This window comes from Homo sapiens, chromosome 9, assembly GCF_000001405.40.
Source record: "Homo sapiens chromosome 9, GRCh38.p14 Primary Assembly".
NCBI lineage: Eukaryota > Metazoa > Chordata > Mammalia > Primates > Hominidae > Homo > Homo sapiens.
The window spans coordinates 79,579,822-79,597,603 of NC_000009.12; the positions used below are offsets into that span (position 1 = coordinate 79,579,822).

Consider the following 17,782-nt stretch of genomic DNA (forward strand, 5'->3'; position numbering starts at 1 on the left):
CTGATAGGATATCATAATCATAGCCTCTTTGGTCGATGGTAAATGATGATAAATGACATTAGGAACCTTTTAGCAAACTGTAATAACTACAAGGAGGGAAGCAGTATGGATTTGCATTGTATCTGATACCCTCTAGTACCAAGTGGATTGCCAATACTGCTTGTTTAGCATTTTCTAAGGGCAATAAGATATTGATTTCTGACTTACAAGGAACAGCTCTATTTTCACCATTGAAAAGTATTGCAGGTTGTTAAGAAGAAATTGACTTGAAGAGGCCGACTGCTGCCCATCATGGAGCAAATAAAGCAAAACTGCCGAAGCATGGTGGAGCAGCGAGACGGGCCCTCAGCAATTTGTTGCTATTAATTTACCATGCTCGACAGCAAATCAATCGGCATCTACTTCATCTGCTGGAGAAAATGCTGTCCAGGGCAGATAAAAGGCTCGGCATGGTACAGAGAATAGACTGGATTGGCCAAAAGCAGGCTGCAGTTAATGTGTAAATAAGTGAAATCAAGGCCACTGTTGCAGAGGAAGCTGTTGTTAATTAGGTTGGTGTTTTTTAGTGAACTATTTTAGAAAGCAGCTAGGATTTGGAGAGTAAGAAGAGATTTATTGAGATTGAAGTAATACATGACTGGCATGACATTCTAGCCTTGAGTGTACTTGAATCTAGGGTGCAGTAAATTTATTTGGGGACACTGCTTGCTATGAAGTTTGTTGAAAGTTCATTTTAGACCACATTTCCCTTATGATAACTTTTTTTTTCAACCTTGCCAGTTTTTTGCACATCTTCTGTCTTATTGTGTACTCTTAGATTTAGAAGAGTAGATGGAGGAGTAGGTGTTTTAGTATGGAGGCACAAATGTGTCTGTTATATTCTTACCCAGTGCCTTTTTTTTTTTCAGAGATAGGTATAATTGAACTCTTGTATAATAATGAGAGTGAACTATCATGGAAGATGGGGTGTTCTAGCTGAAAGTAACTAATAAATGAAGATTTTGCTGACAGAACTTTATCTTGCTTCAGAAATATTAGGAAATAACAATCTAGAGGGCCTGAATAGTGGGTAGATACTACTAGATTATAAAATCTTAAAGATGACAAGTGAAATTTTGATGTCTGCATAAACTTCAGATACAATTATAAGACTATGTGTGTGGGGGTGGGAAGGGTTCTTGTGTTTTTGGTTTTCATTAAGGTTTAAAGCCACCTTTTCTAATTTAAGATTATTTACACGCTGATAATATTCCACAATTAATGTTAACGGAGTGAAGGGTATTGGTGGTGTTTTTTCCCCTTTACCTCTCATTTGGGCATTTTAAAATAGGAGGCCAACTTCATTTACTCCTGTTTAGTAAATCTAAATGAGTGTAGGTTTTAAATTAGATTTTTTCCCAAAACCCTTCAGAAGGTCTAGTATTAGGGCAGTTGATAAGTAAGTGGAAGCACCTTGGGCAGGACCCAGTGACCTGTCCTTTTACTTATTACAGCACCTGCACGGGAAGCAGATCTGGAGGATGAAATTTAACCTGTTACAGTGTGTGTATGTTTTAGGGTGTGTGTTTTCCGAATACTGTGGGGAGTTCCCTTTTTCCTTCTCCCATGATGGATTCTTTTGTCTTTCTAGAGATACCATAGGAGGATATCTGGATTTTTCACCTAAGGCAGTGATTCTTGAGTGAAATTGGAATTTCCTTTCAATAGAAGTAAACATTTATTATATATCTGGCTTGCGCTTACCACTGGTCTGGGCACACTGCCAAAATTCTTATCGTTAGTTCTCATAATGATCCTAAGACAGGGATTATATCCAATCAAAAGTTGATTAAACAGGGTCAGCTCTGCACAAGGTGATACAGCTAATAGTTGGTGGATTCAGGACTTCAAATAAATTTATGTGGGAGGATATCTCCTGGGAGATGGGTTTGCTATGGGTTAGAGATTCAGGCCCCAGTTCATTCCTGAAATAGAGAGTCCCTGAACTTTAGGCTCATACGCAGAACCTCTTGAGTTGGGGGATTCTCTGCAACTGCCTAGAGTCCATGGATGGCTCAGCCTGCCCTCTGCTTGCAGACTGCTTTCAGTGGGTGAGAGGGTGAGGTTGCTTTCACTCGGAATCTCCCACATGTGGGCTAGGGAAGCTGCTTGCTTATCAAGATGGAATTTGCTTCCTCCCTAGGCAACCTATTTCTCATTTGTTTACAAACTTGTTCTTCTCTTTAACTTTTATCTTTTCCTGTGGCTTATGAGAGTGCCTACAGACAAGGGGCTGTTTGTTAATCACCATCTTGTGGGCTTTTGAAGGGGGAAGCTGGGAGGGGAAAATGTGATGTTTTGTAGCCTCTTTGTAGTTTAGAAAGAGGTTCGTCGATGCAGGAAATCACACAACTCAGTTTTAAATGAAGGCAGATGTTTTGCTTTTACTGTTAAAAGAATTTCTTTGCAGCATTCAAACAAAAGGATAGTTCCTTTTCACTGCCCCTTAATCCCTGCTGGATATTATTTATTTGTATTTATTATTTTGATGGGCAAAGTTCTTTGTATCTAGGTATATATCACTTTGATCTGTGTAGGAATGATGGACCGGACTAATGAGCTACATCTCTAGGTGCTGTTGCAGCACTGGTGAAGGAGACAATACAAGCACCAGCCCATTGTTCTTCACATTCTTCATTTAATCTTTGCTTTCCTAGAATACATCTTTTTTATTTCTTCTTTTTTTTCTTGTGTTATAAGATAGGTAGAGGAAACCAGTTGGGAATTAAATGTTTAAAAAATGCATTTATAAGTTATTTGTGTTTGTTTTTAATGTGGCTTTTTTTTTTTTTTTTTGCCTTTGATGTGATTCGATGGTTTGGTTTACCACTTCTGGACAGCAATAATGTATTTGGTGGCTAGAGAAAAGAGGGACAGGGATGTGAGTTCTAGAAGGCACTTTCTTGATCCCTCTACACACCCTCTTAAAATGACTCCAGCGTTCCAGCAATGGTGGTAGGTTCAGTGGTCCTATACTAGCTAAGTTATTACCAGTTTTGTAAGCTGGGCTGTTGGAGAGAAGCAGGGGGGCAGCACATTTACGCATGGGCAATGGAGTATTTACACTGATAATGACAGTTTGCAAGGCTTAGGACTTGTTCAAAGTAAGTATACTGCGAACAGTTTATGAAATTATTACTCTAAAGAGGAAGGGCCTCAGAAGTTTTAGTCAGAAGCAAGAGTTAGAGCTGTTTTGTCTTTGCCTTAGTAATAGCTCTCAGTGGTAGTTGTTTTCTATCTATGGAGAGGGATTTAGCTGGCATTCATCACCACAAATCTATATACCCTCTCTCTTTTCATTGGAACTTACCCAGCATTTATGCCAGGCTGTTGCTATTTCTATATCATTGACCCAAAACTTATCCCTGGAGAGCTGCACGTGTAACCCTTATTCCATCCAGGGGTGACACATGGGCAGGGTGTGGATTTTCTTAGCTGGTTCATCAAATAAGCAGAAGAGAAGTACTCTGGGATACCCCTTAGGTACTCTGTCCTCTGGTGAGTGGATCGCACTGTCATCTCTTTTGAGGATTTGCCCACACACATTTCAAGAATTGTATGGTGGAGGCAGCTTCTGCGTTTCACGGAATGAAAGGATAACTTCTCTCCCGGTGCGAGACAATACTCTATCCCCAACCTGGGCTGGCTGTGGTGTGCTTGGGACCTCTGCAGGGCCCTGTTGCTTGCAGCAACCTAGGCAAAGTGAGAGGTTGGGGAAGGAGGAGGGGGGATATTGGCTTTTTCATTTCTTAGCAGGCTTATTTAACTCATTATTATTATTATTATTATTGTAATTTGGGTTCTGTCCTTATTTTCGAACTATGTATTCTGTTTCTGAAGGTCTGTGGATGATTTTGGTTATTGAATTTGAAACTGCAAGAAAATATAACTGGAAAGAATAGTCATAGTAGAAATTATAAGCACTAGTACTCTGTAACACCCTTTCTTTACAGAGAGCTTAAGGCATTTTATATGTTCTCTTTAATGTTCCTTATGTTCTGTGAAGCAGGTAGCAAGCTTGGATCCATGTATTTATTTAAATAGCTTCTGTCAGTGGAGTACCCAACAGTTTGCCAAGCAGTGTCATTCTACTGGCCTCCTTTAATAGATAACACTGAGGCTTAAGGGCTTAAGAGACTAGCCCAGTGTCACAGTCAGGGAGGATCAGCACGGGGGTGGAGATACCAGAGTTCACGCAGGTCAGCGAATGCGCCTGAGGTTGCATAGTGAGAGTCACTGGCAGAAGAGGAAATAGTAGGTTTCTTGACTTCCCTTCCAGGGCTCCCTTCGCTGACCATGCTGTTTCCAAACAGCAAATAACATGCTTGTTTCTATGATGTGTTTGGCTTTCTGCAACATGAGGAGCATGGTGATGCTACTGGCAGTCCAAGAGTGTTACACCGTCATCTCTAGTGAGAGATCTGATCTGTGTTTGTGTTTGAGGACAGCTCCTCCCTCCCCTCCCTTCTACCCTCTCATTGCCTCTGCCCTGCCCAAAGGGAGTCTAGGATCAGCAATATTGAAATATAAAGCCAAGGTCCACTTTTAGAAAAGTGCTTGATAAAACTGGCTATCTGGCATTCCTGAACTGTACCATGCAAACACACTGTGTTAGATACTTACCTGTTTATTTCCTGTCTCTCTCTCGTGCTAGATTGTAAGCTCCATGAAAACAGGAGCTTTTATTGTTTACTGCTGTGTACCCGGTGTTGAGCCCTGTGCCTATCGCATAGTAGATGCTGGTGCGCAATAAAATATTTGGTGAATGAGAGAATAGCAGTTAGAGCTAGCCAAGAATATGTGTGATTTAATATTTTTAAGGGTATATTAGGTTGCAAGATAGATAACAAATACTGAATCTCAGGCATACTTAGGTCTGTGTTGTCTACTAGTTTGTGGAAAAGTGACACTTGGAAAGAGGAAGCAAAAGCAACCGAACTTGCTGTGCCTTTGAGGAACAAGTTAGTATAGCTAAAGTAGAATGTATGTATTTTAGTATGTTGAGTCTGCCTTTTTAAAGATGAAAACATGAATCATTCCAAACAGAATTTAAAATTCAGTTTGAACGTCACTGTATCACTAGTCAGTGTTTATCTGAATAATTCTTTTACTATTAATAGGTCTGTGTACCTGTGGTTTGAATGAATGTGGAGCAATATCGATCTTGACTATATTGTGTGTTTAGCTAACTTCCCTGCAAATCAGTAAAAAATGCAAGGTTTTAGTTCTTTTCAAGGGACAAGGAATTTTGAAAATGTCTTAATTTTTTTTATTAGTAGAGATAGTATAACGTTGTTGAAAGAATAGTAATCATAACAGTAAGCAATTTTAGATTGCTTATAGTGTCGATAATATTTCACTTATTCTTACAACAATCTTATGAGATTATAGTAGTAGTATTATTTCCATTTTACGTATGTTGGGGCTGAGACACAGAGAGCTTAAATAGCTTGCTTGAAATCAGCTAGCCGGTAAAATAGATCTTGGGTTTGACTCAAGGTCAGAACGCTGGTATGACAGATATTTCTGCCTTATTCCAGTTGATATGTTTGGAATACTCCACCATCAGCATACTTACTACCTTCCCCCAAATGCTTGACTGATTCCGGAGCCTCAGATTCTAGTTCTGGCCTTGCTAGTCACCAGCTTTGTGATATTGCTGAGTACCGTACCTTTAAGGGCCATGCTTTTCTCATCTTTAACTTAGGGCGTAAGTGAACGCCCAGATCTCTTTTAGCTCTTTTGGTTAAAATGACCATTTCAGTTTGGTTTGTTGCTGTGATCCAGTGAACAGAAATTGAATTTTTTTTTTTCAGTCTTAGAAAGTCTCTTTTAGCACTTATTTTCAGAATTTTTAAAATCCAAAGTTACCCAATGTGCCTAGGAGTAGAAATGTATATTTATATACTATTAATACTTTATTTTTTATAAGGTACTTTCTCATCCTTTTTTTTCATGTAAACCCCAATAATAAAGCATTCCCCCCGTCCTGTGGATGAACACAGTGAGACGCAGATGTTAGATGACAAAGTTCTTCACTTAATTAGTAGGTGGTTTACAATTCACTGATTCTCTTATGGCCAGCGTTCAGGCTAAAGTAATGTTGACACAGAAGTAGAGCAATTTTCATAAAACATGTAATATAAAAGTATATATAACATAAAATATATCAGTATGTCTTTAAAGTGATTAGTTTTTGTACTTTTCCTTTGGCATATATTAGAAAACTTAGGCTGGGCACGTGGCTTACGCCTGTAATCCCAGCACTTTGGGAGGCTGAGGTGGGTGGATCATGAGGTCAGGAGATCGAGACTGTCCTGGCCAATGTGGTGAAACGCTGTCTCTACTAAAAATTAACTGGGCGTGGTGGCGCATGACTGTAATCCCAGCTACTCGGGGGGCTGAGGCAGGAGAATCACTTGAACCAGGGAGTCAGAAGTTGCGGTGAGCCAAGATCGCGCCACTGCACTCCAGCCTGACGTCAGAGCAAGACTCTGTCACAAAAAAAAAAAAAGAAAAGAAAATTGTGTGACTTCTGAAATTGTATGAATTATAAAGTGATCCAATAATTTTCTTCCAAAGATGTGCAAAGGGACTATGTAGCAGTTTATTACCTGTTGTGTAATTAGCTCCGGGGGTTACTCTTCTAGAATCTAAGGTAGGTGTCAGTTTCTCTAGCTTGAGGTAAAGCGTGTCTGTAAACTGTGGCTTACAGTGAGCTTGACATCTCAAGTCCTCAGGACTTTCTTGCTTTGTCCCATCAAGGACCCTTTCCTTAGGGAAGATAAATTCATTGTAAATAAATGACTTAATCATAAGTAGAAGAAGGGAGAAATGTTTAATCTTGGCCTTTTGGAGTTTATAAATCAAAGACACAGTAGAGATCAAGTTCCTTCATTAAAGTGTAGTTCCAAAAAGGAAGAATGTGGTTTTGGTTTTAAAAAATTTTTTTATTTTTAATTTTTAAGAGTACATAGTAGGTGTATGTATTTATGGGGTAAATGAACTATTTTGATACCGGCATATAGCATATAATAATCACATTCGGGTAAATGGACTACCCATCAACTCAAGCATTTCCCTTTTTTTGTGTGGGTTAGAAACTTTCTAGTTATACTCTTTTAGTTACTTTTAAATGTACAATAAATTATTGTTGACTGTAGTCACTCTGTTATGCTATCAAACACTATACCTTATTCATTCTGACTATATTTTTGTTTACAGAAGAATATGTTTTGTTCACTGCTGGTACCACTAGCACCTAAAACAATGCCTGGAATATAGTAGAAGAAATGAATGAATGAATGATGGAACAGCTAAAGGAGTGGTTTAATTTTTTCATTTTATTGCATTTCATGTAGCATCACATATTCTGAGTATCAGCCACCTTTATATAAGCTGTCTTCGTTTCTGAGTGCTTAGGGAGGGCCTGGCTTTATGCTGAGCAAAAAAGGCCTAGATAGGCAATCAGAGAGTGGGAGTTCTTATCTCAGTCTGCTACAGGTCCTTGAGCTGCTGATTGGCATTTTTAAAATTTAGAATTGGATTCATACTTTGCCAGATGATTTATTTCTAAGATATCTTTCAACTCTTAACATCATATGATGTTTAAATGACCAGCTTAAAAATAAAATTCATCCCTACTTCCATTGCTCGGTACTATAGGCATGCCATTTTAGTAAGTTAAGTTTTAAGATAATTTTTATAAGAGGAAATACAGCCAGGTTTTTTTTTGTTTTTGTGTTTGTATTTTTGTAGAATCTCACTTTGAGCAATGTTAGGCTATTGTGTGGACAGCTAAAACAATCCTAATATTGCCAGTGTTTCACAACCTAGAACCATCTGCTGTGTTGCTTTTTTTGCAGTTGTAGCTGCATCTTCCTGGTCCTTCTATAGGCTAAGAGCACATCAGTAAGTACATATAGTTAACAGATTTTTCATATGTATATCTTGGGCAAGTGTTAGTGATAATAAGAGCAGTTAAAATTTATCGAGTGCCCACTGGATACCAGGTAAAGCACTAAATGCTTCAGATGTATTAATTTGTTTAATTTGTAATCTTTTGAGGAAGGGATCTGATTATCCTTATTGTGTATGAGGAAACTAAGGTAAAGAGAAGCTGAGAAATTTGCCCAGGGTTATATATAGCTGGTAGGTTACAGAGTAGGGGTGTCAAGGCCAGGCATTCTGGCTTGAGAACCTACATTCTGGTTTTGAACCACTGGCAATAAATGTCTCATAAGTGACTATGGTAAACTTCTTTGTTTATCCTTGCGTGTGTGTGTGTGTGTGTGTGTGTGTGTTTTGAGATAGAGTCTCGCCCTGTTGCCAGGCTGGAGTGCGGTGGCGTGATCTCGGCTCATTGTGATCTCCGCCTCCTGGGTTCAAGTGATTCTCCTGCCTGAGCCTCCTGAGTAGCTGGGATTACAGGCCCACACCACCACTCGCAGCTAACTTTTTTGTATTTTTAGTAGAGACGGGGTTTCACCATGTTGGCCAGGATGGGCTTGATCTCTTGGCCTCGTGATCCCACCCACCTCGGCCTCCCAAAATGCTGGGATTACAGGTGTGAGCCACCGCGCCCGGCCTATCCTTGTTTTCTAAATGAAAAAACAAATCGTCTGCTTCTGTGTTCTGTACACAGTGAGCTTAAATGTTAAAAATAATAGCTGGTATCATTTGGGTATTTTGTTTTGCAAATTAACACACTAGATTAGTGGACTCATTCATTGGTTCATCTTTTATCACAGATTCTACTGTTTGTCCGTGGCTGGATAACCACAGGCCTCTAGATATTTTTGTACCTCTGACTGTGAGATTTCTAAAACAGGCATGGCACCTTCTTTTATAACCACGTGTCACATGGGAATGTTCAGGGAACTGTAAACTTTTGAGTGCCTGCCTGGGGTGGAGGAGAGATGGAGGTTCTTGGCTGGGTTTGAAAGGTTCTATATAGTTCTGGAATTTATATGCATAATTGTGTACCTTTTTTGTGGGGGCAGAATCCATAGCCCTTACTGGTTCAATGAGGAAACTGGAACCCAAACAAAAGAATTAGGGAGGTACTGTGCTAGAGCAGTGGTTGCAAACTGGAGCAGTTCCTTTCCTCAGAGGATGTCTGGCAATGTGATGATATTTGGGGTTGTCACAACTTGGAGTTGCTACTGGCATGTAGTGGGTAGAGTCTGGGATGCTGCTGAACATCTGCATGTACAGGACAGCCCTCTACAACAAAGACTTAGCTGGCCTAGAATTTCAGTAGTGCCAACACTCAGAAACTCTGCTCCAGAGAGAAGAAAATACTATTAAATTCTGTTGCCTTTTTATGGCCCGGAGAGTTATAGGTTTGGGGCATAATGACCTCTTTGAGTAGAGAAAGGCCAAGTATGAGCATTGTCTGGCTTCTCTAGTTAAGTCAATTTGAGAGAATCCTTTAAACGTACTTAACCTTTTCAGGTTTTTTCCTCCCTTTCCCATGATGATAAGCAGAGTGGGGTTGGTGGTAGTTAAGTTCTGAATAGAGATATTACATGATCCTTTGTAATCTTCCTTTTCCTAAAGAAGGGACCGTGATAAACCTTCTCGGTGGGAGGGACTTTTCACACTTAAGTTCAGCTTCTCACTGGAAATCAGCTTGATTTCCACTGAAAACATCCAGATCTTTGTGGTGCTACTACTGCGCAAGGCAGAAGACATTTTCAGTGGAGGTATTGGATTGGCAGAAATTTCTTTATGTGAGACCCATTAGTCCTGTCCCCCATCGAAGTCACTAGAATTAGTCTTACTCCTTGTCTAGGTTTTTCAGAAGTGTTGCCCTTTATTAGCCTTCCTTTGTCCATGCTGGGCATTCTCAGTCATTTTAACCATTCTCCTGAGACACCAGTCTGGTTGGTACCAAGATGTATATGATAGACCGGGCTGCCTGAGAATTCAACGTGACGTTTCTGGCCTGATTCTACCCAACTGAGGCATTAGGGCAGATCTTATTGCAAAGTAGCCCTTCTGCTCTTTCTCTTTAGGGCAAAGTACATTATATTTGTCTTTGTCATGTCCTGATCACACTGTAATACACAAAATGGAACCTTGAGTTTTGTAAGTAACCTGAGTCCACAATATGGGTTCGTTTTTATTTTTGAATGTGTGGGCGCTGATCAGTGAACCTGTTTTACTTGGACTTCTTTTCCCCCAACAAATTTCACTATGCTGCGCTATGAATGTGGGTGGCTGTTTTAAAGGCTTTTGATTTTGCGGGGGACAGAGAACTGTTTGGAAATGTGGTTTTACCTCTGGCTAGCTTGGTTAACCCCCCCAAAATATAGTCAACCTAAAGTGGCTAGTGAAAAAACAATAGCAGTTCTGTAGCTGCTTGTTTGCTTGAACATTTTTTGGGTGAGCTAGGGGAAGACAAAACACTTGTTTGGGCTTCTTAATGAAGAAATTGTGTCCCCAAAATTCCAATGTGTGCTTCTTAAGCTTCCACTCTTCTCTAGGTTCTGGGCATGGGGAGGTAAACTTTGGCACCCCTACTTGCTTGTAAGTTTTCTCTTTACATTTCAGAGGTGTCAGATTTAGGAGAGGCTGCTTGTAAGTTTTCTCCTTATATTTCAGAGGTGTCAGATTTAGGAGAGGCTGCGGCAGGCAAAGTACATTATGTACAAAAACCTTCCTTTTGTAATATGGGAGCTCATTTCCAAAGGCTCCATATGGCTAGCCTAGGAGGCTCATAGTAAAGACCTGCTTTAGTTGTAAGCAGAGCTGATAGGAGGGTTTTTTTATAATCTAAGCAATAATTTTTAGGTTATTTTGCATCAGTTTAGGATGCACACTTGTGAGGTGGTATTTATGCCTTCTTCCCAGATTAGATTTACAAATCCCACTTTCTTAAGATACTTGATTTTACATTTTGAATCATGCTTTTTTGCCACTTTCTTTCTGTTTGAGGCTCACCGTGCAAATTAACTTTCTAAACTGAAATATTTAGCTTCTCAAATGGAAATACCTGGAACTGGATTTATTATAAAGGTTAAGAAGATTATAACCTAAATACTTAAACATGAAAAAAGTAACTTAATCTTCATGAGATTGTTTTATTCTTTCATTGGGAGGGTTACTTGGTTAAGAGCCAGTAGTCCTGGTCACCTCAGAGGGAATGCAAAGGCTCTTATTCTTTCATCCAGCTAATGTTAATTAACCTCATACTATGTGCAGGTTGCTTTGAGGGCTAGCAGTTAGGAAAGGTAGGAGGCTTGCCTCCATGGAGAATCTAGTCTTTTTACTTCATTTGGACCACTGTAAAAAATATAAAGCAGTGCAGTGGATACACAGTTGTGACATAGGTGGAAGAGAAGGGGGTCTTTCTGGCTCCTTGAGTGATTAAGGATGCTGTTACGGAGGAGGTGGGCACAGTTTAGTGAGACCTCAGAGGATGGGGAGCACTTAGGCAGGTTGAAAGGAAAGGGTAGGATTCCAAGTGGAAGCCACAGAGACTGGAAACTGCTGTGCATATTCAGGCTGTGTTTAGTGTTTCCAGCTTTATTGAGTGGTAGAGGAGAGAATAATTGGGAATATAGGTTTGGGATGCATTATAGAAGGCCTTGAATGCTGGTGGTAGTGCTTGGGCTATAAAAAGAAAGCAAAGGGGAGATTAATCAGTAGTTGGTCAAGGGACCATATCTGTTTTGCTAATTTGTTCAGCAGCTAGCATGAGGCCTGAGAACAAATGTCAGTGAATGTTGTTGAAACGATTTGAGTGGAGAGGGGCGTGACTGGAGAGGGACAGGGTGGAGGAAGTGAAGTCTGAACTAGGGAAGTAGAACTGGAAAGGAGGAATCCCTATGACTTGACATTTCATTGGGTGAGGAGTATGGAAATGCATAGGAGGAAAGGCCCTAAGACATTGATGTCTGCAGAGGGACAGAGTCATGGTACCATTCATTGATAGAAAAAGATACTTTAGAAGGGGAGAACTTGGTGTTGATAATGCTGCCAGGTGTGGTACCTAGGAAGGAGGGAGTGAAAGAAGGAAGAGGAGGAGGGAATGAATGAGTTTGTTGCTTCTTTTGCTTTCGTTCATCACCTTACTTTCATCTCTCCTGCCAAATTTATAATCCTTCCAAGAACCTCAAGGATTCTTTCCACATCTTCTGTATACCACAGTGGACTTTGCCAGGCAGCCTTTTGTGGGCATGTGTTTTAGGAACTATTTGACGTTTGTAGGAGTGTGGAAGAGAGTTTCTTCTTCTTCTTCTTCTTTCTTCTTTCTTCTTTCTTCTTCTTTCTTCTTTCTTCTTTCTTCTTCTTCTTCTTCTTCCTCTTCCTCTTCCTCTTCTTCTTCTTCTTCTTCTTCTTCTTCTTCCTCTTCTTCTTCTTCTTCTTCCTTCTGCTTCTTCTTCTTTCTTCTTTCTTCTTCTTCTTCTTTTTTTTTTTTTTTTTGGAGGCAGGGTCTCACTCTGATGCCCAGGCTGGAGTGCAGTGGCGTGATCATGGCTCACTGCAGCCTCAGCCTCCTGGGCTCGAGTGATCCTCCCACCTCAGCCTCCTGAATAGCTGGGACTAAAGGTGCTTATCACCACACCCGGCAATTTTTGTATTTTTTGGTACAGACTGTGTTTCGCCTTGTTGCCCAGGCTAATCTCAAACTTCTGAGCTCAAGCCACACGCCCACCTCATCCTTCCAAAGTGCAAAGTGCTGGGATCACAGGGGTGAGCCACTGTGCCCAGCCAGAGATAGTTTCTGTCATTTTGCTCGGTTACTGCCATTACCTTTATATAGACATAGTGGAATTTGTAAATTCAATTGATTTTTAACTTTTTCGTCTGTAAAGGATTTTTAACATTAGAAGTAGGTACAGAATACTCAAAATTATTCTTCTATCATTGAAACTCTTTGTTGCAGTCATTCTTTTCTTCCATTTTTTATTTCTTGTATGACTTGGCCAACAACTCTGGATATCAGTGATTGTGTATCCTTTTTAAGTTGAGAAATTTCATGTAGACATAAGGCTGAGTCAATAATTGTCTTGGGCAACTACTGTGTTTCAAAAGAAATAATTATTCCCATTGTTCATTATGTCCCTGATGAGCTAAACACTGAAATTACAATAGATGCTTTAGTCAATGTGAATTATTTGTGTGTGGTTAATTTTCTTCTTTTTTTCTCCCTAATGTGAGGCATATTCTGTATTTTCAACCTTTACCCCTTTTAGACACTTGTCTTAAGCTGCCTTGGTTGAATGAGAACAGCAGTGATAGTAAGGAAAGTTAAGATGAAATTAAAAAGGCCATAGAGTACATTTTTGGTAAACCAAAATATTGCTTGGTGGCATAAAGCCACAGATCCATTCCAAAAAAAAACGAAAACCGAAATGTGGTTTTGCTGTCTGTCATGCAGTCTGTTTCAACTGTCAGAAACATACGTTGCTTTATGGGATGTTTTTTTCAAGTCTGACCGCAGCTTTTAATTTCCTTCATTCCACCCACACCTCCTACCACACACCCATGTATCTAGTACTAATTTATAGGCAATTTGAATCTAATGACATAATCATCAGCAAGCAAAAGGGTCAGCACTTGTGGCAAAAGTTTCTTTCTTGGTGTGCTAATTATCAGTTCTACACTCTTGGAAACTCTAAACAGTCAGAACACAGTGATTGTCCTTGTTCATGGACTTTTCAGTCTAAGTTAGATTGAGGCCTTTAAAAGATGGGTTTGAAGTGCTTTGTATTTTTGCTAAAAACATAATATTAAAGAAAATTAAACAATATTCAGTGAATTTTAGAAAGCAAAAGAAAGAAACTCACTCATGTTCCTACAGTTGTGCCTTAACTGCTGACCAGGCAGAGGCATCCCTGTGTCTCCATCATATATGCTGTGTCTGATGGAGATCATGTCACCCAAATGAAAAAATACTTTTCTAGTCTAGGTTCAAAGGGTGATACATAAAATACATACCACAAAAAATTAATGATACAATGAAACCTCAGATCTTTAAAATTATTATTGACTTATTGGTAACTTTACAGTTTCTTCAACTCCTTATAGGCAATACGATCCTAAATATTTTTAAAAATCTAGTCCTAATTCAGCCAGTAACTTCCTGTGACATTGGTAAATTATTTAACTTTTCTGAGTCTCAGTTCCTCATCCATAAAACAAGGGTCTAGGACTGGATTTTTACTTTTTATAACATGTTGGTTCCCAGGCCCCTGATCTGGGCCTTAGGCATCAGTATTTTTCTAAAAGCTACAGAGGTGATTTTGATGTACAGCAAGGTTGAGGACCAGCGAACTAGAGCAGTGCTGCTCAAAATTCAATGTGCATACAAATCACTGAAATCAGATTCTGTTTCTGTAGGTCTGGGTTGGTGCATGATACTCTCCATTTCTAACAAAAAGATCAGGTGATACTGATACTGCTGGTCCACTGACCACATTTTGAGTAGCAAGGAGCCAAAACATCTCCAAAATGTCTTCCATTTCTACATTGTATCTCCATGGTATAGTTTATATAGTTCATGAAGTCTGTGTGCTGCTTGAATGAGATCTCACATTTAGTATGTTAAGATTGATAGTGTATTATCTTATTATCTGCACAACCTCTCTTTGCTTAAGCTCCATCCAGACTCATGCATCTTTATTTTTGTTTTTGTTTTGTATTTTTTTTTTTGGGAGATTCATGCATCTTTGAAACAATTCCTCATATTGAAGTCATTTTAATAGTACCTTGCTTTAGACAGCCTGACAGCTCTAGCTGGTGGCTGGTGGGTTGTTATATTTGCTGTAGAGAAGAGGGTTTTCATTTCTTTCTTCTTCGTTCACTCCACTCCGACAGATACTTAGGCTTTTGTATTGTCACCTTTCCTCTCTTCAACAGGTACCCTCCCCATATTGACCTCTTGTATTTTGGGGTAAATGGGCAAAAAGAATCATGAAGTGCATTTTGTTTTAATTTTGTTCTCATGCATGTACATTCTCTGCAGAAAATTTATTAAGCGTAAGTTTAAGGGAGCAAAACTCCAACTTAAAGCTCAAACATACTTAAGCTGTAACATTTTTTAACTCTGTACTTTAACCATATCACTTGGCAATTGTTTTTAGAAATAAGAAAATACTATTTATAGTTTGTGGTTCTTTATTTTTGTTTGCTGCAGCTCAATCTCACATTGGCAGGCATCATGACCCAGTAGAAAGACCCCTGAATGGTAGTGTCTGGAGAGCTGATATTCTAAGCCTTCACCCACCCTTAAGTAGTTTTTGCAACTGTAGACACTTGGGTTCTGTAAGTAAACCAGGGAAGAGATTAAGGAATGCTCCATTTCTTAGGGCTGTGTTGGAGAATTTGGTTACCTTGGAAGAACATACCTATCACCTAAAGTCTAAGGCAATAAGAAATTATAGTTTGCGATTGGGGAATGTTGCTTCGGAGCAGTGACACTCAGAGAGTGGTCCATGGACTGGTGCAGGTCTGTGAACTATTTCTTAAAGATGGGTGAATGAGATAAGGTACTTGTTACTTGTGCAAAAATTAACTCACTGTTTTCTTCATAGAGAATGTCTTTATTTTTAAAAAACAAAACAAAAAACTCCATTGAACTAAACGTAGTTAACCGTTATCTTTTTGCTGATCGGTAACAATGTGGGAACTAGCTACTTTCTGCTTTAGAATACTTAATCGGTCAAAAGTTGTATCAGGTTATTTTATAATTTAAGAATAGACCAAAGTAGAAGTTCATAAAATGTAGCCTAAAAAATAAAAAAGTAAATTTAAAGGCAAGTTAGGTTAAAGATAAGAATCAAATTCAAGGTGGTCTGGACGTATGTAGCATAGTTAAGTCCAAGGCAGTTAACACAGGTTCACAAGTAGTAGCTTCTTACAGAAGCTGTAAGAAGCACTGCAGTTTGTGCTTTGGTTAATGCAAAACTTGTTTAAATTCTTCTGAGTGCTTCTAAATTATCTGAGAGAATTTTTGTTTTTCATTTTTTGCCATCTACTTTTTTTTTTTTTTTTTGAGACGGAGTCTTGCTGTCACCCAGGCTGGAGTGCAGTGGCACGATCTCAGCTCACTGCAGGCTCTGCCTCCCGGGTTCACACCATTCTCCTGCTTCAGCCTCCCAAGTAGCTGGGACTACAGGCGCCCACCACCACGCCATGCTATTTTTTTGTATTTTTAGTAGAGACAGGGTTTCACCGTGTTAGCCAGGATGGTCTCGATCTCCTGACCTCGTGATCCGCCCGCCCTGGCCTCCCAAAGTGCTGGGATTACAGGCGTGAGGAACCGCGCCCGGCCGTTTAGTATCTACTTAATCGAAGAGAACATACCTCTGTAAGTCACAAAGAATTTTTATTCTGTAGTCTTAAATTTCAGGACCATGTTATTGTCTGAGAAGCTTTAAAATTAAGCCTGCCTCGCCTCCTCCTGCCTGATGATATTCTTTATACTTTACTACTATATATAAAATTCACTGCATCTAGGGCAAGTATCTGTTCACCAAGAAAAGAGGAAGGGAGATCCTTCACCAGTAGCAAAACATAAATACTGAGAATGTCTTTTCTGGGTAAAAGTGCAAGAAAAGTAGAAAAACAGCAAATTTTCTGGGGCTAGGCCTGTGAGCTCACTCCTTCCAATCAGTGAGGAGGCACTTGTCTTCTGCCACTGTACCAGTGAGTCTGGCATCCCCATCCCACTTTAGATCTGTTCCCTAGCCACCTCATGGTCCTTGCAGCCCTTCCCCTGTGTAGTATAAATTAGTAAGGGATGCTTTCTTAATTGAGAGACAGAAAGAGCCCTAAGCTTGAATCGATACCTAACAATACAGCCACTCAATTTGTAGCACTATCTAATCTCAGTTCTGTCTTAAAACAGAACTACTTACCTTAAGGGATTTTATTCGTAAGCCTACCCTCATAAATATTTCTGTCAGCCAGATATGGGGCAGCCATTCTTCCCATTTCATGATTATAGAAATGGAGTCCAGAATCATTTTGGAGTTTGCTTATTAAAGTCATGGTTTAGCTAGTCTAGAAATTAGAGTCACACTAGGATTTGGGACTGCACAGCTGTATAGTTCGTAATATTTGGTGTTCTTTTCAGAATGTTTTGTCACTTGATTCTGAATTCTTCCCATGCCTTTCCATAATTGTCCCCTAACCAAATCTTGACACGAGCCTGTGATTTCCCTATTTTAATGAATGGTAGGAAGCACCATATCATCCAGGTTTTACACACTGGAATCATTGATTCCGTACTCCCCTGGTTGTCTAATCTAGTGAAGCCACATAGTCTGCTAGTTCTCCATGTGCAGCCTGCCTCCTTTCCTTGCTCTCACCACGGTCACCATCACTGACCATCAGACCTTGTTGTCATACTAGAGGCTATGGTGGTCTCCAGGCTTTTTGTCTGCAGCCTTTGCCTTCTCTGTTCTCTTATCTGGGCTTGCTGGACCTCCCGGTCTACTTTTATATCTACCTTTTGGTGTTGGGTCATTTTTTAGGGTCCCTTCTCTGACCTTGGAAAATCCTACCAGTATTTCCAATATGGCTCTGTCCTCTTCTCTGCTTACTTTGCCCTTTTATTTAGGTAATTTTATTCACTCTGAGTAGATGAATCTCAGGGTTTTTTTTCTACTAGCCCAGACCCTTCCTCTGAGACCATTGTATGTCCTCATTTGCCTTGAATGTCTCATAGATACTTAAACTCAACAGGTCCCAAAATGACATAGTCCCCCCACAAGCCTGCTTAGTGATT

At 39.7% G+C, this 17,782-nt stretch overlaps 1 protein-coding gene across 50 annotated transcripts in view, besides 1 other annotated feature; it reads left to right on the top strand.

Annotated features, from left to right (window-relative positions):
• TLE4 (TLE family member 4, transcriptional corepressor) overlaps positions 1-17,782 on the top strand; it is a 154,918-nt gene that overhangs the window by 7,857 nt on the left and 129,279 nt on the right. The gene's annotated exons all lie outside the window — the stretch shown is intronic.
• Positions 4,150-4,249: a silencer, noted in NCBI's record as "silent region_19974". NCBI's record gives its function as "represses an Ori minimal core promoter by ATAC-STARR-seq in GM12878 lymphoblastoid cells {active_cell/tissue: GM12878}" and the evidence as "EXISTENCE:reporter gene assay evidence [ECO:0000049][PMID:35858748]".